The sequence below is a fragment of the Homo sapiens genome, chromosome 12 (genome assembly GCF_000001405.40).
Source record: "Homo sapiens chromosome 12, GRCh38.p14 Primary Assembly".
NCBI classification, from domain to species: domain Eukaryota; kingdom Metazoa; phylum Chordata; class Mammalia; order Primates; family Hominidae; genus Homo; species Homo sapiens.
Window position 1 is genome coordinate 112,999,968 of NC_000012.12, and position 16,475 is coordinate 113,016,442.

At 45.6% G+C, this 16,475-nt stretch overlaps 1 protein-coding gene and 1 pseudogene across 2 annotated transcripts in view, besides 5 other annotated features; both read left to right on the forward strand.

The window, feature by feature from the left end:
* Nucleotides 1-11,756, forward strand: part of OAS2 (2'-5'-oligoadenylate synthetase 2) — a 33,205-nt gene extending 21,449 nt beyond the window's left edge. The window contains exons 6-11 of one of the 2 annotated variants that reach the window (NM_016817.3): nt 2,965-3,135; nt 4,967-5,255; nt 6,446-6,633; nt 7,738-7,976; nt 9,120-9,273; nt 10,407-11,756. In NM_016817.3, coding sequence (NP_058197.2) covers nt 2,965-3,135; nt 4,967-5,255; nt 6,446-6,633; nt 7,738-7,976; nt 9,120-9,273; nt 10,407-10,517 — 1,152 coding nt within the window. In that variant the 3' untranslated portion in view covers nt 10,518-11,756. Of the gene's footprint in view, nt 1-2,964; nt 3,136-4,966; nt 5,256-6,445; nt 6,634-7,737; nt 7,977-9,119 lie in introns of both variants that reach the window. The other variant, NM_002535.3, reaches the window with a different exon arrangement.
* Nucleotides 4,400-4,569: an enhancer, noted in NCBI's record as "experimental_24566 CRE fragment used in MPRA reporter constructs". NCBI's record gives its function as "activates a minimal promoter by MPRAs in K562 erythroleukemia cells, with activity observed for the non-introgressed 12:113442257 or rs1293749 variant allele {active_cell/tissue: K562}" and the evidence as "EXISTENCE:reporter gene assay evidence [ECO:0000049][PMID:34662402]".
* Nucleotide 4,485: a transcriptional cis regulatory region, noted in NCBI's record as "Neanderthal adaptively introgressed variant 12:113442257 (GRCh37/hg19 assembly coordinates) or rs1293749 in the experimental_24566 CRE". NCBI's record gives its function as "modulates activity of the experimental_24566 enhancer by MPRAs in K562 erythroleukemia cells {active_cell/tissue: K562}" and the evidence as "EXISTENCE:reporter gene assay evidence [ECO:0000049][PMID:34662402]".
* Nucleotides 6,167-6,336: an enhancer, noted in NCBI's record as "experimental_24567 CRE fragment used in MPRA reporter constructs". NCBI's record gives its function as "activates a minimal promoter by MPRAs in K562 erythroleukemia cells, with activity observed for the introgressed 12:113444024 variant allele {active_cell/tissue: K562}" and the evidence as "EXISTENCE:reporter gene assay evidence [ECO:0000049][PMID:34662402]".
* Nucleotides 6,769-7,968: an enhancer, noted in NCBI's record as "BRD4-independent group 4 enhancer chr12:113444541-113445740 (GRCh37/hg19 assembly coordinates)". NCBI's record gives its function as "activates an origin of replication core promoter dependent on BRD2, P300/CBP, MED14 and CDK7 cofactors, and independent of BRD4, by STARR-seq in HCT116 cells {active_cell/tissue: HCT116}" and the evidence as "EXISTENCE:reporter gene assay evidence [ECO:0000049][PMID:35650434]".
* Nucleotides 9,715-9,884: an enhancer, noted in NCBI's record as "experimental_24568 CRE fragment used in MPRA reporter constructs". NCBI's record gives its function as "activates a minimal promoter by MPRAs in K562 erythroleukemia cells, with activity observed for both the introgressed and non-introgressed 12:113447572 variant alleles {active_cell/tissue: K562}" and the evidence as "EXISTENCE:reporter gene assay evidence [ECO:0000049][PMID:34662402]".
* IMMP1LP2 (inner mitochondrial membrane peptidase subunit 1 pseudogene 2) lies at nt 15,566-16,221 on the forward strand (annotated as a pseudogene).

Consider the following 16,475-nt stretch of genomic DNA (forward strand, 5'->3'; position numbering starts at 1 on the left):
ACTCCTGGGCTCAAGTGATCCTCCCACCTGGCCTCCCAAAGCTCTGGGATTACAAGCGTGAGCCACCTCACCTGGCCCATTGTTATAGTTGTTGTTTATACTGAGCCCTTTGAGAGTAGACTGCCAGACATCTCTTTACCCTTAAATGCTTTCATAGGGATCTCTGAGAACAAGAATATTCTCTTCAATAACCTCCATGCCATGATCAAATTCAGGAGACTAGGAGTCATATATTATTGTCCCAATACAGCCCATTGGGATGATTTCGACAGTCATTCCAAGAAGGGCCTTTATAGGACATTCTTTTCCAACCCAGAAGCACATGTGGCATTTAGTTCCAAACATCTCCTAAACCATCTTTTGATACTCACTGTGGCTGTTTTTGTTCTGCTATCCCATCAACTTCTATTTTGAGAACTGTGAGACCATCCCTGTCTCTGCAGTTGTTGAAGAAAATTTAGGCCCAGGAACCACTGCATAAGGCGGTCCAAACATTGGGGGCTCATGCACACATACACACACACACACACACGTACATGCATACACAAACATGCACACACACACTCACACATGCACACACATGTACTCACACCATGCACACACGCACACACGCACACACATACATGCATACACACATGCATACATGCACTCACACACATGCACACACGTACTCACACCATGCACACACATGCACTCACACACATGCACACATGCACTCATGCACACACATGCATGCACACCATGCACACACATGCACTCACACACATGCACACACATGCACTCATACCACGCACACATATGCACTCACACACCACAAATATTCTGCCCTGTGGAAGGGGCAGTGTTGGCAATGAATATTCCTTCAATAGGCACCGTCCTCAGCAACTATAAGGCCAACTTACAACATCTGAGAACAACCAAGGTTGGCCTTCAACTTTCAAGCTGAGTGCCCTTCCCCACCTCCAGGTGAGCTAGCCCATCTTGTCTGTGTTGCCAGCAAAAGTACAATATTTGTATAGAACAGTAATTACTTGCCTCTTACTGCTGTTTTAAAAAAATGCCCTAAACTTAGTGGCTTAAAACACATGAATTTGAGCCAGGCACAGTGGCTCACACCTGTAATCCCAACACTTTGGGAGGCTGAGGCGGGAGGATCACTTGAGAACAGGAGTTTGAGACCAGCCTGAGCAACATAACAATACCCCGTCTCTACAAAAATAAATAAATAAATTAGCTGTAGTCCCAGCTAGTTGGGAGGCTGAGGCAGGACGATCACTTGAGCAAGGGAGATCAAGGTTGCAGTGAGCCATGATTGTGCCACTGCATTCAGCCTGGGTGACAGAACAAGACCCTGTCTCAAAATTACTTTTGCACCAACCAAAAAATATATATATACATATATATACACACACACATATACACATATATATACACATATATACATATATACACATATATGCACATATATATACACATATATACATATATACACATATATACATATATACACATATATACACATATATATACACATCTATACACATATATATATACACATATATATATATACATATATATGCTTCCTCACCTTTTCAAGCTCCTTGAGGTTGTCCAAATTTCTTGGCTCATGGCCCCTTCCTCCATCTTCAAAGCCAATAGCATAGCATCTTCCAGCCTCTCTCTCTACTTCCAACATCACACCACCTAACTCTAACTCCAACACCACCACACTCCAACTCTAACCCTCCTGCCTCCATCTTATAAGTACCCTTGTCCTTATAAGCACAGTGGCTCACGCCTGTAATTACAGCACTTTGAGAGGCTGAGGTGGGAGGATTGCTTAAGACCAAGAGTTTGAGACCAGCCTGGGGAACCTAGTGAGACTCCCATCTCTACAAAAAAAAAAAAAAAAAAAAAAAAAGCTAGGCGTGGTGGCACAAACCTGTAGTCCCAGCTACTCAGGAGACTGAGGCTGGAGGATCCCTTGAGCCCAGGAATTGGAGACTGCAGTGAGCTATAATGGCACCACTGCCCCCCAGCTTGGGTGACAGAGCGAGACACTATTTCTGAAAAAACATGGGTTAGAATCATGGGTTGGAAGGCTACCTGTTGGGTTCTATGCTCACTACCTAGGTGATGGGATCATTCATACACCAAGCCTCAGCGACATGCAATTTACCCATGTAAAACCCCACACATGTACCTCCTTGAACCTAAAGTAAAAGTGGAGAAAAATGTATTAATTAATTCAATTAAAAATTAAAATTAAGAGGAAAAAGACCCCTGTGATAACATCAGGCCAAACCAGGTAATGCAGAATAATCCTCCCATCTCTAGAGACTTAACCACGTGTGCTTCAGAGGGAGCACAGCTGTGCCAAAACCTGGACTTTGAACTGTTGGCCTCCAGAACTGGGAGAGAATAAACTTCTGTTGTTTTAAGCCACCTAGTTGTGGTCACTTGTTATGGCAGCCTTTGGAAACCAACACACCCGCACATGGCGTGTTTAACGCAGGCTGATACAACCTTAAGAAAGGAATGGATGTGGTCATCAGCAATCTCCAATACCTACAGCAAATGGGAAGACAGGGAAGGACCAGAGGTGTAGGTAAAGCAAAAAGCCACAGGTCATTAGGAAGTGATGCTCCAACTGGGCATGGAAAAGGAGTTTGGAGTTAGGAACACGACAGATCTGTCTGGACAAGGATCCAGATCTCTCCTAGGGGGAAGGAGGGGCAACTAGGACAGTTTTTGTGTCTGTGGGGGGTCTTGTGTGCCACTCCAAACTCTCAGGTGTGTTCTTGGGATGTATTTGTGCAATGACAAAAGACGGAAAAGATGCCAGCCCACGAGCAGGAGGGCAGTTGGGAGAGGCAGGGTAGGGGGCCCAGTACAGGCAGGAAAAGAAGCCTTGGGTGGGCTTACAGGTGCCACTCACACTTGGGGTCTTCCTTCCTTCCCCAGCCTGCACCACTCTTCACGACCCCAGGCCACCTTCTGGATAAGTTCATCAAGGAGTTTCTCCAGCCCAACAAATGCTTCCTAGAGCAGATTGACAGTGCTGTTAACATCATCCGTACATTCCTTAAAGAAAACTGCTTCCGACAATCAACAGCCAAGATCCAGATTGTCCGGGTGAGCACTGGCCTTTCTCATGTCTTGTTGGAATGATGTAATATTGGGCATTCCTGGAAGGGAGGTAAGTGGGCATTGTAGCTCTCCAGGATCCATCTACCTTCAGAAACTTGAGGAAGGGAAGCCAGGAGTTAAGGGAACTAGGACACTAGTTTTCAGGGGGGTTGTGGATAGACTGCCTAGGTCATTAACAACACAACTTTGATTCTGTATTGTTTTTCTTGGAGCTGTTGGCCGTCCTTGGGGCTCTTGGGCCTGGAGACACATCACTCCCGTCTCTGCCTCTGTCATCACCTTTTCTTCTGTGTCCTCCCCCTTCTCTTCTTTTCTAAGAACACTTGTCATAGGATTTAGGGCCCAGCCTGATCCAGAATGATCTCATCTCCAGGTCCTTAACTCAGTTACATCTGCGAAGACCCTTTTTCCAAATAAGGGCACATCCACAGGCCCCCAGAGCATGTATTTTTAGGGGTCCACCATTGAACCCACTGCAGATTCTAAGGAGCTTAGAATCTCCTTCTCCTTTGAGTGACTGGAGCCCGGCTTGCCCCATCAGCTGAGCTAGAGATTTAGAGGCTTTTGTCATTCTTGTCCGTGGCTCAAAGGCCACGGGGCTGACATGTTTCTCTCTGTTTACTGGTCACACGACCAGATAAACGTGTCCCCGTGGTCACAAGAAGGGAAGGAGGAAAATGTTATTATGTACGCGTAAATTTCTGCGTTGATGCCAGAACAAATCTGTGCAACTAGAGAAGAGGGGCCTGGGAAATGGCACCAATAGCCCCAGGGCAATGAGTGAACTGTCTCATTGAAGGTCACTGGAGTGAAAACAGGACTGAGTTTCTGATCAGTGTTAGAATTGTCAAAGCATGTGCTTTCTCCTCTCCTTCCTGAAACCCCATTCACATGATAGTCAGTGAAAAATAAAAGGTATATGACACATCAAAGAAGAAAAGAGAGCCATCGGCAGATAAGACATTGCTTTCCATCTTCCTGAAGTTGGTTGAAGGTTTCTCTGCTTAGGCCAGAGGAAGGTGACACCTAGAGATTGTAAGGAAGGGGCTACAGTCTGAGAGGAGCCGCCGAAGCCCACCTCTTAAAGACAAAGGTGGCCTGCATGAATGAAGGGGGCTGGAACAGGGATGAATTGAGGATCTGCATACAGGAAATAGAACATACCCTTTCCTCACCTCCTTAACCCATGTAATCAGGCATTTAATACCCATGGATAAAATAAAACATTTTTCTCTACAGAAACTAAATGGAGGAGAAAGAGGAGGAAGAGGAGGAGGGAGGGAAGGGAGAAGCCTTAATGGCAGAGACATAAATAGCCCACAAAGCCTAAAATACCTACTATCTGGCCCTTTTGCAGAAAGTTTACCAACCCTGTACCTCAATTATGGATATTCACCCAATGATCGCCAGACCTGCAGGAGAAAACACACATCAAAGAACAGATGAGCACCTTCACCATAATTATTGCATTCCGCTCGATTTATTTGGTTACAGGAATCCAAATAAAGCTAAATATGTCTTTAGGAAAATCTTTAGGAAATTGACCTGAGAAGCAGGTAACTTGTAACTAGCCCATCAGTTGTTCATGTATAAAAGGCAGGAGAATAATTGCCTTGGGAACTGTATTGTTTAATAACTGCATTATCTATTAGTTTGTAAAAGAAAACCCTTTGCTTTGGACTCAGCCCTCACTGAACCCTAACGCAGAACTTGGCCTTGGAAACAGTGTCAGTTAGCCCAACTGGTGCCAGCCCACGGGGGCACGGGACTCCTCGGTTAAGGAAATTCTGGATCTCAACCTTCCTTTCTTCCTTAGGGAGGATCAACCGCCAAAGGCACAGCTCTGAAGACTGGCTCTGATGCCGATCTCGTCGTGTTCCATAACTCACTTAAAAGCTACACCTCCCAAAAAAACGAGCGGCACAAAATCGTCAAGGAAATCCATGAACAGCTGAAAGCCTTTTGGAGGGAGAAGGAGGAGGAGCTTGAAGTCAGCTTTGAGCCTCCCAAGTGGAAGGCTCCCAGGGTGCTGAGCTTCTCTCTGAAATCCAAAGTCCTCAACGAAAGTGTCAGCTTTGATGTGCTTCCTGCCTTTAATGCACTGGGTAAGGCTCCCCAGACCTTAGCTTGGAAGTGATGGTGGACAGAAGGTGGAGGGAGAGCCACGTGACTTGATTACGGGCTCTGAAAACATGTGCCACTCATGGGTCCCTGGCCCCAGCAAGTGGCATTAGTCATGGCAGTAATACTTCACACTTGTAGACAATTTTGGTCCCATTTCTCTTTTCCAAGCATGGGGCTGTGTGCCTATAATCCCAGTAATCAGGGAGACTGAGGCAGGAGAATTGCTTGAACCCGGGAGGTGGAGGTTGCAGTGCGAGATCGTGCCACTGCACTCCAGCCTGGGTAACAGAGTGAGACTCCGTCTGAAAACAAACAAACAAACACACAAACAAAACAAGCAGTTGGGCTGGGCATAGAGGCTCACACCTGTAATCCCAGTATCTTGGGAGGCCGAGGCGGGAAGATTGCTTGATCCAGGAGTTCGAGACCAGCCTGGGCAACATAGTGAGACTTCATCCCAAAAATAAATAAATAAATAAATAAATAAATAATAAACAAAGTTAGCCAGGCATGGTGGCACACGCCTGTAGTCCCAGATACCCAGGAGGCTGAGGTGGGAGGATTGCTTGAGCCCAGGAGATGGAGGCTGCAGTGAGCTGTGATCATGCCACTGCACTCCAGTCTGGGGCAACAGAGCAAAACTCTGTCTCAAAAAAGCAAAAAACAACAACAACAACAAAAAAAAAAAAAAAAAAAAAAAAAAAAAAAAACAAGAAGCAGCGCACCAGATTTAGCCCAGGGGGCGGTAGTTCACAAAGTCCAGATCAGTGTCGTCCCAGAGATCTTTCTGTGATCATGAAAATGTTCTATGTCTGGGTTCTACAACTACTGAGAGCTTGACATGTGGCTACAGCAACTGAGGAACTAAATTTTTAATTTTCATTCCCTTTAATGAATGTGAGTGCAAATGGCCACATTGCTGGTGGCTGCTCTGTTAGTTTAAGTCTAGATAATACTTTAATAATACCAGCTGCACCTGTGTAGACCACATAATTTTTACATATCTCATTATTCTGGAGATGCTCCCTGTGTCTTAGACATCAGTCTTTTAAATATGCTAATACTATTCACAGTAATTTCCAAGAATTAAATCATATTTGTCAAAAATGTTTTGGAATCTGTTACTTACTATGTGTATTAAAGCAGGATGTCAATCTCTCCCTCATGCCAGGTCAGCTGAGTTCTGGCTCCACACCCAGCCCCGAGGTTTATGCAGGGCTCATTGATCTGTATAAATCCTCGGACCTCCCGGGAGGAGAGTTTTCTACCTGTTTCACAGTCCTGCAGCGAAACTTCATTCGCTCCCGGCCCACCAAACTAAAGGATTTAATTCGCCTGGTGAAGCACTGGTACAAAGAGGTAAGGACAGTCTTTGTTCTGACCATGGGGTTATTATTTTTACCAGTAAGCCATGAACATTAAGCCCTGTTGCCCACAATCTCCCATGCTGAGGGCTGAGCCACTTTGGAGAATCTGCCCACTGGATATCTTTACGACGTTCCCATCACTAACCCTATTCATTTGGGTCAGGCGTTGATGGCTTCTGCCCATCAAAGCTGCTACATGTGGTTTACTTTGCCCTCACACTGGCCAAAGAATTCTGCAGGAATCCAAGTGACCTTGCCTACAGAGGGTGGGTGGAAGCTGGGATTCACATGCCCACACATTGCCAATAGGACTTTTCTGCTTCCCGGCGCACATGCTCTCTCTCAGAAGGCAGGTTGAAGCTGTAGGTGGAACCGGGGCTGCATTTTCTATACACCCAGCTCACAGGAGCTTGAACAACTGGTCAGCCCCTGAGCCCCTACTACAAGTGATCCTCAGGCAGGTAACCCCAGATTCATGCACTGTAGGGTGCTGAGCAGCATCCCTAGTCTCTACCCAGTTTCCCCTCACTTGCACACAAAGTAGCTTCTGAACATCCTCATGACAGTAAACATCAAGCACGATATCAGCTCTTCCTGAGATGCCTCCTTTCTGTGTCCAGCTCCCTGAAATGTGAAACCAAGACCAAACTCTGTAGTTTTCATCCCAGAAAATCAGAGAGCTGGCATGGCGTGTCAGAAGACTTGGGGCTGTGGCGTGACCTTGAGTGAGTCACTCCACTTCCCGCAGCTTCAAAGTCTTCATCTAAAATGCAGGTCATGCTGCCTGCATTGTGGGGAAGATTAGGAATGATGTGGGTAAATGCCTGGGCCCATAGCTGGCATGCAGTGGGTTTCTAGTAAACTGTAGCTATGTTATTGTCCTAGGAAGGCATATATGGTCAAAAGCACAACAAAGAAACTCAAATGTGCTGCTGCCAGGTGGACTCCTGTAGGCTGTACAATTTAGACATCCAAGCTGCAGAGTGTGAGCACACCAGCACGACACTGTGACTCAGTTGCCTTGCTGTGGTCCCTGTGCGGCTCTCACTGAGCTCCTAGGCTAACCAGTTCGTCTGATGTTCCCACTCTTACCTAGTGTGAAAGGAAACTGAAGCCAAAGGGGTCTTTGCCCCCAAAGTATGCCTTGGAGCTGCTCACCATCTATGCCTGGGAGCAGGGGAGTGGAGTGCCGGATTTTGACACTGCAGAAGGTTTCCGGACAGTCCTGGAGCTGGTCACACAATATCAGCAGCTCTGCATCTTCTGGAAGGTCAATTACAACTTTGAAGATGAGACCGTGAGGAAGTTTCTACTGAGCCAGTTGCAGAAAACCAGGTGCCTTCACCCTAGCCCCGTACTTTTCTTAACCTGATTCCCTTGAACACTGTCTCAGCAACCTGGATTTTCCTCTGCTGGGGTCACGATTCATTCCTTGCATGACGGGGGAAAGTGCTAGCCAACAGAACCTGTCACAGTCTCCAGGGATAAAACCTAGCAGGGGCAGGAGAAAATGCTGTTCAGAAAAAATAGAGAAGGAAGGTTCAAGATACCACGTCCCTGAGCTGCTTTCATCTAAGAGGTGTTAGAGTTGGAAGTGTGTCCCTAAGAATTAACGCTATCATTCACGGGCCGATTTATCCTGCAGGGTTTTTATTGGGTTAGGGTTTATCTACTCTTTCAGACCTTCAAGAATAGTAAGAAATCATATCCATCTGCTTAGGGCCACCAGCAAGGGACAAAAACAATGGAAACCAGAGGAAAGGAAAGAGAGAAAATAAAGGAGCGTTGAAAAAGAATAGAGGAGAAGTAAGAGAGAAGGAGACCCCCGGTGGGTTGCCTACCCTGGGTTCTTGGCAACATTGTATTTGATTAAATTATGTATCATATTTTAGCTGACATAGCAAGGAGGAGATATTTAGACTATGCCTTCATTATGCCTTCATGAGTATAGCAATTAACAGCTTTCAAAACGCTTTTGGCAAATACAATTTAATTCTAGGAAGTTGCTTTGGTTTTGGCTTTTGTTTTTGTTTTTGAGACAGAGCCTCACTCTGTCACCCAGGCTGGAGTGCAGTGGCACAATCTCAGCTCACTGCAACCTCTGCCTCCCGGGTTCAAGCTGGTTCTCCTGCCTCAGCCTCCGAAGTAGCTGGGACTACAGGTGCGCACCACCACGCCCAGCTAATTTTTGTATTTTTAGTAGAGATGGGGTTTCTGCATGTTGGCCAGGATGTTCTCGAACTCCTGGCCCTCAAGTGATCCTCCCACTTCAGCCTCCCAAAGTGCTGGGATTACAGGCATGAGCCACTGCACGCGGCCTCTAGAAAGTTACTTTGAACCCTACTAGTAAATTTGAGTTGCTGACATCTAAGCTGTAAGAACACATTGTCTTATTGCTGAAAGTATTATAGGATGGACCCCAAATTCTGAAGTCACTGGGATTTGGAATCTCCTAATGCCTTCTAACCTCTCATTCAGGCCTGTGATCTTGGACCCAGCCGAACCCACAGGTGACGTGGGTGGAGGGGACCGTTGGTGTTGGCATCTTCTGGCAAAAGAAGCAAAGGAATGGTTATCCTCTCCCTGCTTCAAGGATGGGACTGGAAACCCAATACCACCTTGGAAAGTGCCGGTAAAAGTCATCTAAAGGAGGCGTTGTCTGGAAATAGCCCTGTAACAGGCTTGAATCAAAGAACTTCTCCTACTGTAGCAACCTGAAATTAACTCAGACACAAATAAAGGAAACCCAGCTCACAGGAGCTTAAACAGCTGGTCAGCCCCCTAAGCCCCCACTACAAGTGATCCTCAGGCAGGTAACCCCAGATTCATGCACTGTAGGGTGCTGCGCAGCATCCCTAGTCTCTACCCAGTAGATGCCACTAGCCCTCCTCTCCCAGTGACAACCAAAAGTCTTCAGACATTGTCAAACGTTCCCCTGGGTTCACAGATCTTTCTGCCTTTGGCTTTTGGCTCCACCCTCTTTAGCTGTTAATTTGAGTACTTATGGCCCTGAAAGCGGCCACGGTGCCTCCAGATGGCAGGTTTGCAATCCAAGCAGGAAGAAGGAAAAGATACCCAAAGGTCAAGAACACAGTGATTTTATTAGAAGTTTCATCCGCAAATTTTCTTCCATTTCATTGCTCAGAAATGTCATGTGGCTACCTGTAACTTGAAGGTGGCTACAAAGATGACTGTGGACGTGGGTTGCACTGGCCACCCAAGGATGTCTGCCACACCTCTCCAAAGCCCTCCCTACCTACCAAGATATACCTGATATATTCCACCAGGATATCCTCCCTCCAGATATACTTGGTTCTCTCCACCAGGTTCTTTCTTTAAAGCAGGATTTCTCAACTTTGATACTTACTCACATTTGGGGCTAGACAGTTCTTTGTTTGGAGGCTCTCTTGTGCATTGTAGGATGTTGAGCAGCATCTCTGGCCTGTACCCAGTAGATGCCACCCAGTTGTGACAATTAAAAGTGTCTTGAGACTTTATCATGTGTCTTCTGCCCTAGGTGAGAACCCTTGCACTAGAGGAACCCTACACCCCAACCCTGGGGGGAATGTAGGGAAGAGGTGGCCAAGCCAACCGTGGGGTTAGCTCTAATTATTAAGATATGCATTATAAATAAATACCAAAAAATTGTCTCTGGCAATAGTTACCTTCCCAGATACAGGTCCCCCCTTTTTTCCCCTAACTCTTTTAAGCAATGATTGTAACTATTAGGAGACATTGCTCTCCCACGTATGTTTTTCTTTTTAGACAATGCAGACACCAGGAAGTTGTGGAGCTAGGATCCATCCTATTGTCAATGAGATGTTCTCATCCAGAAGCCATAGAATCCTGAATAATAATTCTAAAAGAAACTTCTAGAGATCATCTGGCAATCGCTTTTAAAGACTCGGCTCACCGTGAGAAAGAGTCACTCACATCCATTCTTCCCTTGATGGTCCCTATTCCTCCTTCCCTTGCTTCTTGGACTTCTTGAAATCAATCAAGACTGCAAACCCTTTCATAAAGTCTTGCCTTGCTGAACTCCCTCTCTGCAGGCAGCCTGCCTTTAAAAATAGTTGCTGTCATCCACTTTATGTGCATCTTATTTCTGTCAACTTGTATTTTTTTTCTTGTATTTTTCCAATTAGCTCCTCCTTTTTCCTTCCAGTCTAAAAAAGGAATCCTCTGTGTCTTCAAAGCAAAGCTCTTTACTTTCCCCTTGGTTCTCATAACTCTGTGATCTTGCTCTCGGTGCTTCCAACTCATCCACGTCCTGTCTGTTTCCTCTGTATACAAAACCCTTTCTGCCCCTGCTGACACAGACATCCTCTATGCCAGCAGCCAGCCAACCCTTTCATTAGAACTTCAAGCTCTCCAAAGGCTCAGATTATAACTGTTGTCATATTTATATGAGGCTGTTGTCTTTTCCTTCTGAGCCTGCCTTTCTCCCCCCCACCCAGGAGTATCCTCTTGCCAAATCAAAAGACTTTTTCCTTGGGCTTTAGCCTTAAAGATACTTGAAGGTCTAGGTGCTTTAACCTCACATACCCTCACTTAAACTTTTATCACTGTTGCATATACCAGTTGTGATACAATAAAGAATGTATCTGGATTTTGTGCCTAGTTCCTAGCACACAGCTTCAAAAATTCTAGAGTTTCCTGATAGGAGTGTCTTTTGTATTCATAACAAGCCCTTTTCACCCATGCCTGGGTTTATGCTAACAAGGTTACCCATGGTGGGCCCTTAGTTTCAAGGAAGGAGTTGGCCAAGCCAGAAAGACCAAGCATGTGGTTAAAGCATTGGAATTTTCAGCCCCATCCCACCCCCAATCTCCAAGGAGGTGATGGGGCTGGAAATTGAGTTCAATTTTAACATGGCCAGTGATTTAAGCAATGCTGCCTATGTAAAGAAACCCCAATAAAAACTCTGGACAGTGAGGCTTGGGGAGCTTCCTGATTGGCAGACATTCCAATGTACTAGGAAGGTAGCGCATCTTGATTCCACAGGGACAAAGGCTCCTGAGCTCTGGGCCCTTCCAGTGCTTGCCACCCTACATACTCTTTGTCTGGCTCTTCATTTGTATTCTTTATAATAAAATGGTGATTGTAAGTAGAGCATTTTCCTGAGTTCTATGAGTCATTCTGCAAATTATCAAAACTGAAGGAAAGTCATGGAAACTCCCAAGTTTGTAACCAAGTCGGACAGAGGTGTGGGTAGCCTGGGGACCCCATGTATGGCTGGAGTCTGAAAGAAGGGTGGACTTGGTGAGGACCTTGCTCTTTAAATTGTGGGATCTACACACATTCCAGGTAGTCAGTGCCAGACTTGACTTAAATTGCAGGACAGTCAGCTGGTGTCACAGATTAGGTGTTGGAATGCACCACTACTCTTGTCCAGGATGCAGGCAAAAGAAATATATATGAAGATGTTGAAAAATGGAAGAATACAGGAAACAAGCATGAGAAGAAAAGGCAAAAATAATTTTTAAAAAGTTTTTTAAATGATAAAAAACATTTAATGAAAGAATGACCACTTTAAGTACACATCTACTCAGTCTACAACTAGTTACCAGGGCCTTCTGGATGCCCAAACTTGCACTAGATACATAGGCAGGAAACACGGAAGCAGAAACTGTGAGACGCTGTCCCCATCCTCACAGGGCTTGGCTGGAGGAACTGGAACACATAGCCCTAAATCCCTTAAAGAAAAATGAAGGGCCAGGCTTGATGGCTCACACCAGTAATCCCAGCACTTTGGGAGGCCGAGGCAGACAGATCACTAGAGATTAAGAGTTTGAGACCAGCCTGGACAACATGATGAAACTCCACCTCTACTAAAACTACAAAAAATTAGCTGGGCATGGTTGCAGATGCCTGCAATCCCAGCTACCCAGGAGGCTGAGACAGGAGAATTACTTAAGCCTGGGAGGCGGAGGTTGCAGTGAGCCGAGATCGCGCCACTGTACTCCAGCCTGGGCAACAAAGTGAGGCTCCGTCTCAAAAAAAAAAAAAAAGAAAAGAAAAGAAAAGAAAAATGAAGGGCAGTTTACCACACGTGCCAAGTGAGATGTATATGATGAGAAAGACCATAAAGAAAAAGGTGAGCTGCTCAAAGCCATACAAATGCAGAACAGGACCATTTCAGTTTTTCTCATCAATGTCTTCTCAGCACTCAGTAGACATTTAAACTCATTAAGAGCAAAGAGAATAAAATGTTCACAGTAATCAAGAAACATGCAGTCATGGGTCACTACTGGAAGTAGCTAGGGCACCAATTCTTTCTAAGAAAATTGGCAACAAATGGCCCTGAATAGGCAATAATTAAACCCGGCCTTTCTTATACAAACTGTATTTCAGGATTAAAAGAGCAGCCATAACTGACGAGGAAATTTTATTATTTTTTTTACGGAAGAATTCCATTTAATAAATGTTTAAAAGATGACAAATTAGAAACATCATCATTTTGTAACCGTAATAGGTTTCTTGCCCTATGCACACAGCAAGTCAATAGGCTGAGACACCAGGTTGCAGCAGACAAAGAGGTTTCATTGTAGGGCTGCCAAATGCAGAGATAGGAGGAAACCTCAAATCTGCCTCCCTGAAGAGTTGGGGGCTAGGGTTTTTAAGGGTTTGGGAGTGGGCCAAAGTGTGGAGATCGTTGATTGGTTGAAGAGTGCAGCGTGAAGTCATGGGACAGGGAGAGGAAGAAACTGTGTTCTCATAGTACTGCCGACTCAGTGCCTCTGTTGGGGTCTTCAAACTGGTTGCCATCAGCTGTTCTGCTGGAACTCAGGATCAGAAGAACATCTTAAGCAATTCTTAAACAGAAGCCTTATGTTTTTTTTTGTTTGTTTGTTTGTTTGTTTTTTTGAGGCAGGGGTCTAGCTGTGTCACCCAGGCTGGAGTGCAGCAGTGTGATCTCGGCTCACTGCAAACTCCATCTCCCAGGCTCAACTGATCCTCCTACCTCAGCCTCCTGAGTTGCTGGGACTACAAGCACACACCACCACACCCACCTAATTTTTGTATTTTTTTGTAGAGACTGGGTTTCACCATGTTACTCAGGCTGGTCTTGAACTCCTGAGCTCAGGTGATCTGCCTGCATCGGCTTCCCAAAGTGCTAGAATTACAGGTGTGAGCCACCGTGCCTGGCCAAAAGCCTTATGATTCTAATGTCAGAGATCCTATAGGAACAATGGGGATGTAAATGGTCAGTATCTAGTGCTCCTGCCATTCAGTTACAAGGAAGTGGACCAAAGTGCAGCATGATTAATGCTTAATTACAACAATATTTCTGTCCAGAATTCACGTTAACCCTATGAGGATGGCTTTAATTTTGCAACCTACAATAAAATAAATGATTTAGGCAGAGATTATCAATGGGTGAAACCATTAGATGAAATGATGGGGAAGGCTATAATGGGGTGGGGGGATGTCACCTCCCAAATCCACAGGGTTTATTTTTATTTTTTTATTTTTAATTTTGAGACAGGGTCTCACTCTGTTACCCAGGCTGGAGTACAGTGGCACAATCACAGCTCAATGCAGCCTCAATCTCCCAGACTCAAATGATCCTCCCACCTCAGCCTCCTATGTAGCTGGGACCACAACAGCACACCACGACGCCTAGCTAATTATTAAAATTTGTTAGTAGAAACGGGGTTTCACCATGTTGCCAGACTGGTCTCAAACTCCTGATCTCATGCAATCCTCTCACCTCAGCCTCCCAAAGTGCTGGTATTACAGGCATGAGCCACCATTCCTGGTACCAAATCCACAGTTTAATCTCAGTGTTAGCAGAAGGGACAGCCAAACATGGTGTGCCTCCAGGCATGAGACAGTACAGAGCACACAGCACAATCCATTATGTGTTCTTGCCAAATCAATTTTTTAAATTTGACACCAACATTGGCTACGAGAAACAAAACAATTGAGTTAGCAAATTCCAGAGAAAATGTATAGGCCAGACAGACTTCAAAGAAAGAGAACAAAATATGGAGAAACCAGGACAGAAATGTGGAAGGGTGTGCATTCTCCTAACCACAAAAGGGAAACGAGCCAAGAACCTAAGAAGAATCCAGTTAAGCAGAGTTCAAGGTCAAGACCCCAGACCTATAGTTCGACCCCGGTTACCCTAGCAACAAGATCCCCACTTACATCAAAGGAAGGAAGCAATGATTAGACGCAGGAACGCTCATGGTGAGTGGCCAATGGCCCAGGGGGCAGTTTAGGAAGAGTTTGAGTGACCGACCACGAACAAGGTCACCAGTGGGGAGAGGTTGTGGATAAAAGGAGCCTGCATGCTGGAGGGCTTCGGCTGCTCTGACCCGAGGCTCCTCCAGCTGAGCTTGGTCAGATTGCAGCAGGTAAGATGCTATCACTCCTCGGTTCCATTCACTGGCACCAGTGCCTGGGATAAACCTCAGACAGGGGAAAGGTGAGGAAGGAAGCTCTCCTTTGCCTGGTACTGCCCTATGTGAGTTGGGCTGGGTGCACTGGAGTGTTGTGTAGACCTGGAGGGAAGAATCTGGTAAGGAGAGCAGGATATGAGGATCCCAGCAACTCAGCCCAACCAGGAGGGTCCCATCCAAGCAACAGTGTCCCACATGCTCATCTTGGATGGAGTTCCTCAAAGAGGTGCCGTATCCAAGCCAGCGTCCCTTGGTTGTAGGGCCAGGCTAGGAATTGCAGAGGGAAACTCGTCATGTTCCTGAGGGAATGAGGATGTGGGGCTCCAATTGGCAGGGCAGGGAGTTATTGGCAGGAAAAGGGGAAAAGCTCAGCTTTGGGGCAGGGGTGGTTACAAAATAAGATCCTTTGCCAAGGCTCAGCCAGGAGAAAAAGGCTCACAAAGGGCTTAACTGAAGCCCTGGCCAGAAGGGAAAAGATCCCAAAGTTGAAAGAGCAAGATAAAAAGGCCTTGGCATACCTGTGTCCTGGTTGAGGGTCTTCAGGGTTCTTTAGGGCCCAAGGCCGAAGGTGGCAGAGTCTACCTAGAACTATGCTTTGTGATGTTCTGGGGAAAGGCTTTCGACTTGTTGGCTATGCTATTCAGTATGGCTATATTGTGCTTTTGAATACATTGGTGGTGTTGTTATGTGTTCTGGACCACCAACGGAGCCTACCATTCAAAATTCAGATACTGTCTTTGCAGAAAATCTTGGTGTACATTTGTACGGTATTCAAAGAGGTGACATTGTGATTGCAAAAAGCCCAAGTGATCCAAAATCAAATATTTGTAAAAAAGTAATTGGAAGGAGACAAAATCCTCGCCACTAGTCCATCAGATTTCTTTAAAAGCCGTAGTTATGTGCCAGTGGGTCATGTTTGGTTAGAAGGTGATAATCTACAGAATTCTACAGATTCCAGGTACTATGGACCTATTCCATATCGACTAATAAGAGGACGAATCTTCTTTAAGATTTGGCCTCTGAGTGATTTTGAGTTTTTACGTGCCAGCTCTAATGGCCACAGATTTTCTGATGATTGGTAAGCATTTATTCTTTTGACTTGATTATTGTCTCCTATTCATTTATTACTCCCATTAAAACCATGTACTTACCAATAAACTATTTGCTATTCAGAAAAACAAAAAAAGGCACAGTGGCTCATGCCTGTAATCCCAGCACTTTGGGAGGCTTAGGCGGGTGGATCACCTGAGGCCAGGAGTTCAAGACCAGCCTGGGCAACATGGTGAAACCCCGTCTCTACTAAAAATACAAAAAAAAATTAGTCAGGCATAGTGGCATTCCTGTAATGCCAGCTACCTGGGAGGCTGAGGCACAAGAATTGCTTGAACCCGGGAGGCAGAGGTTGCAGTGAGCCAAGATGGCGCCA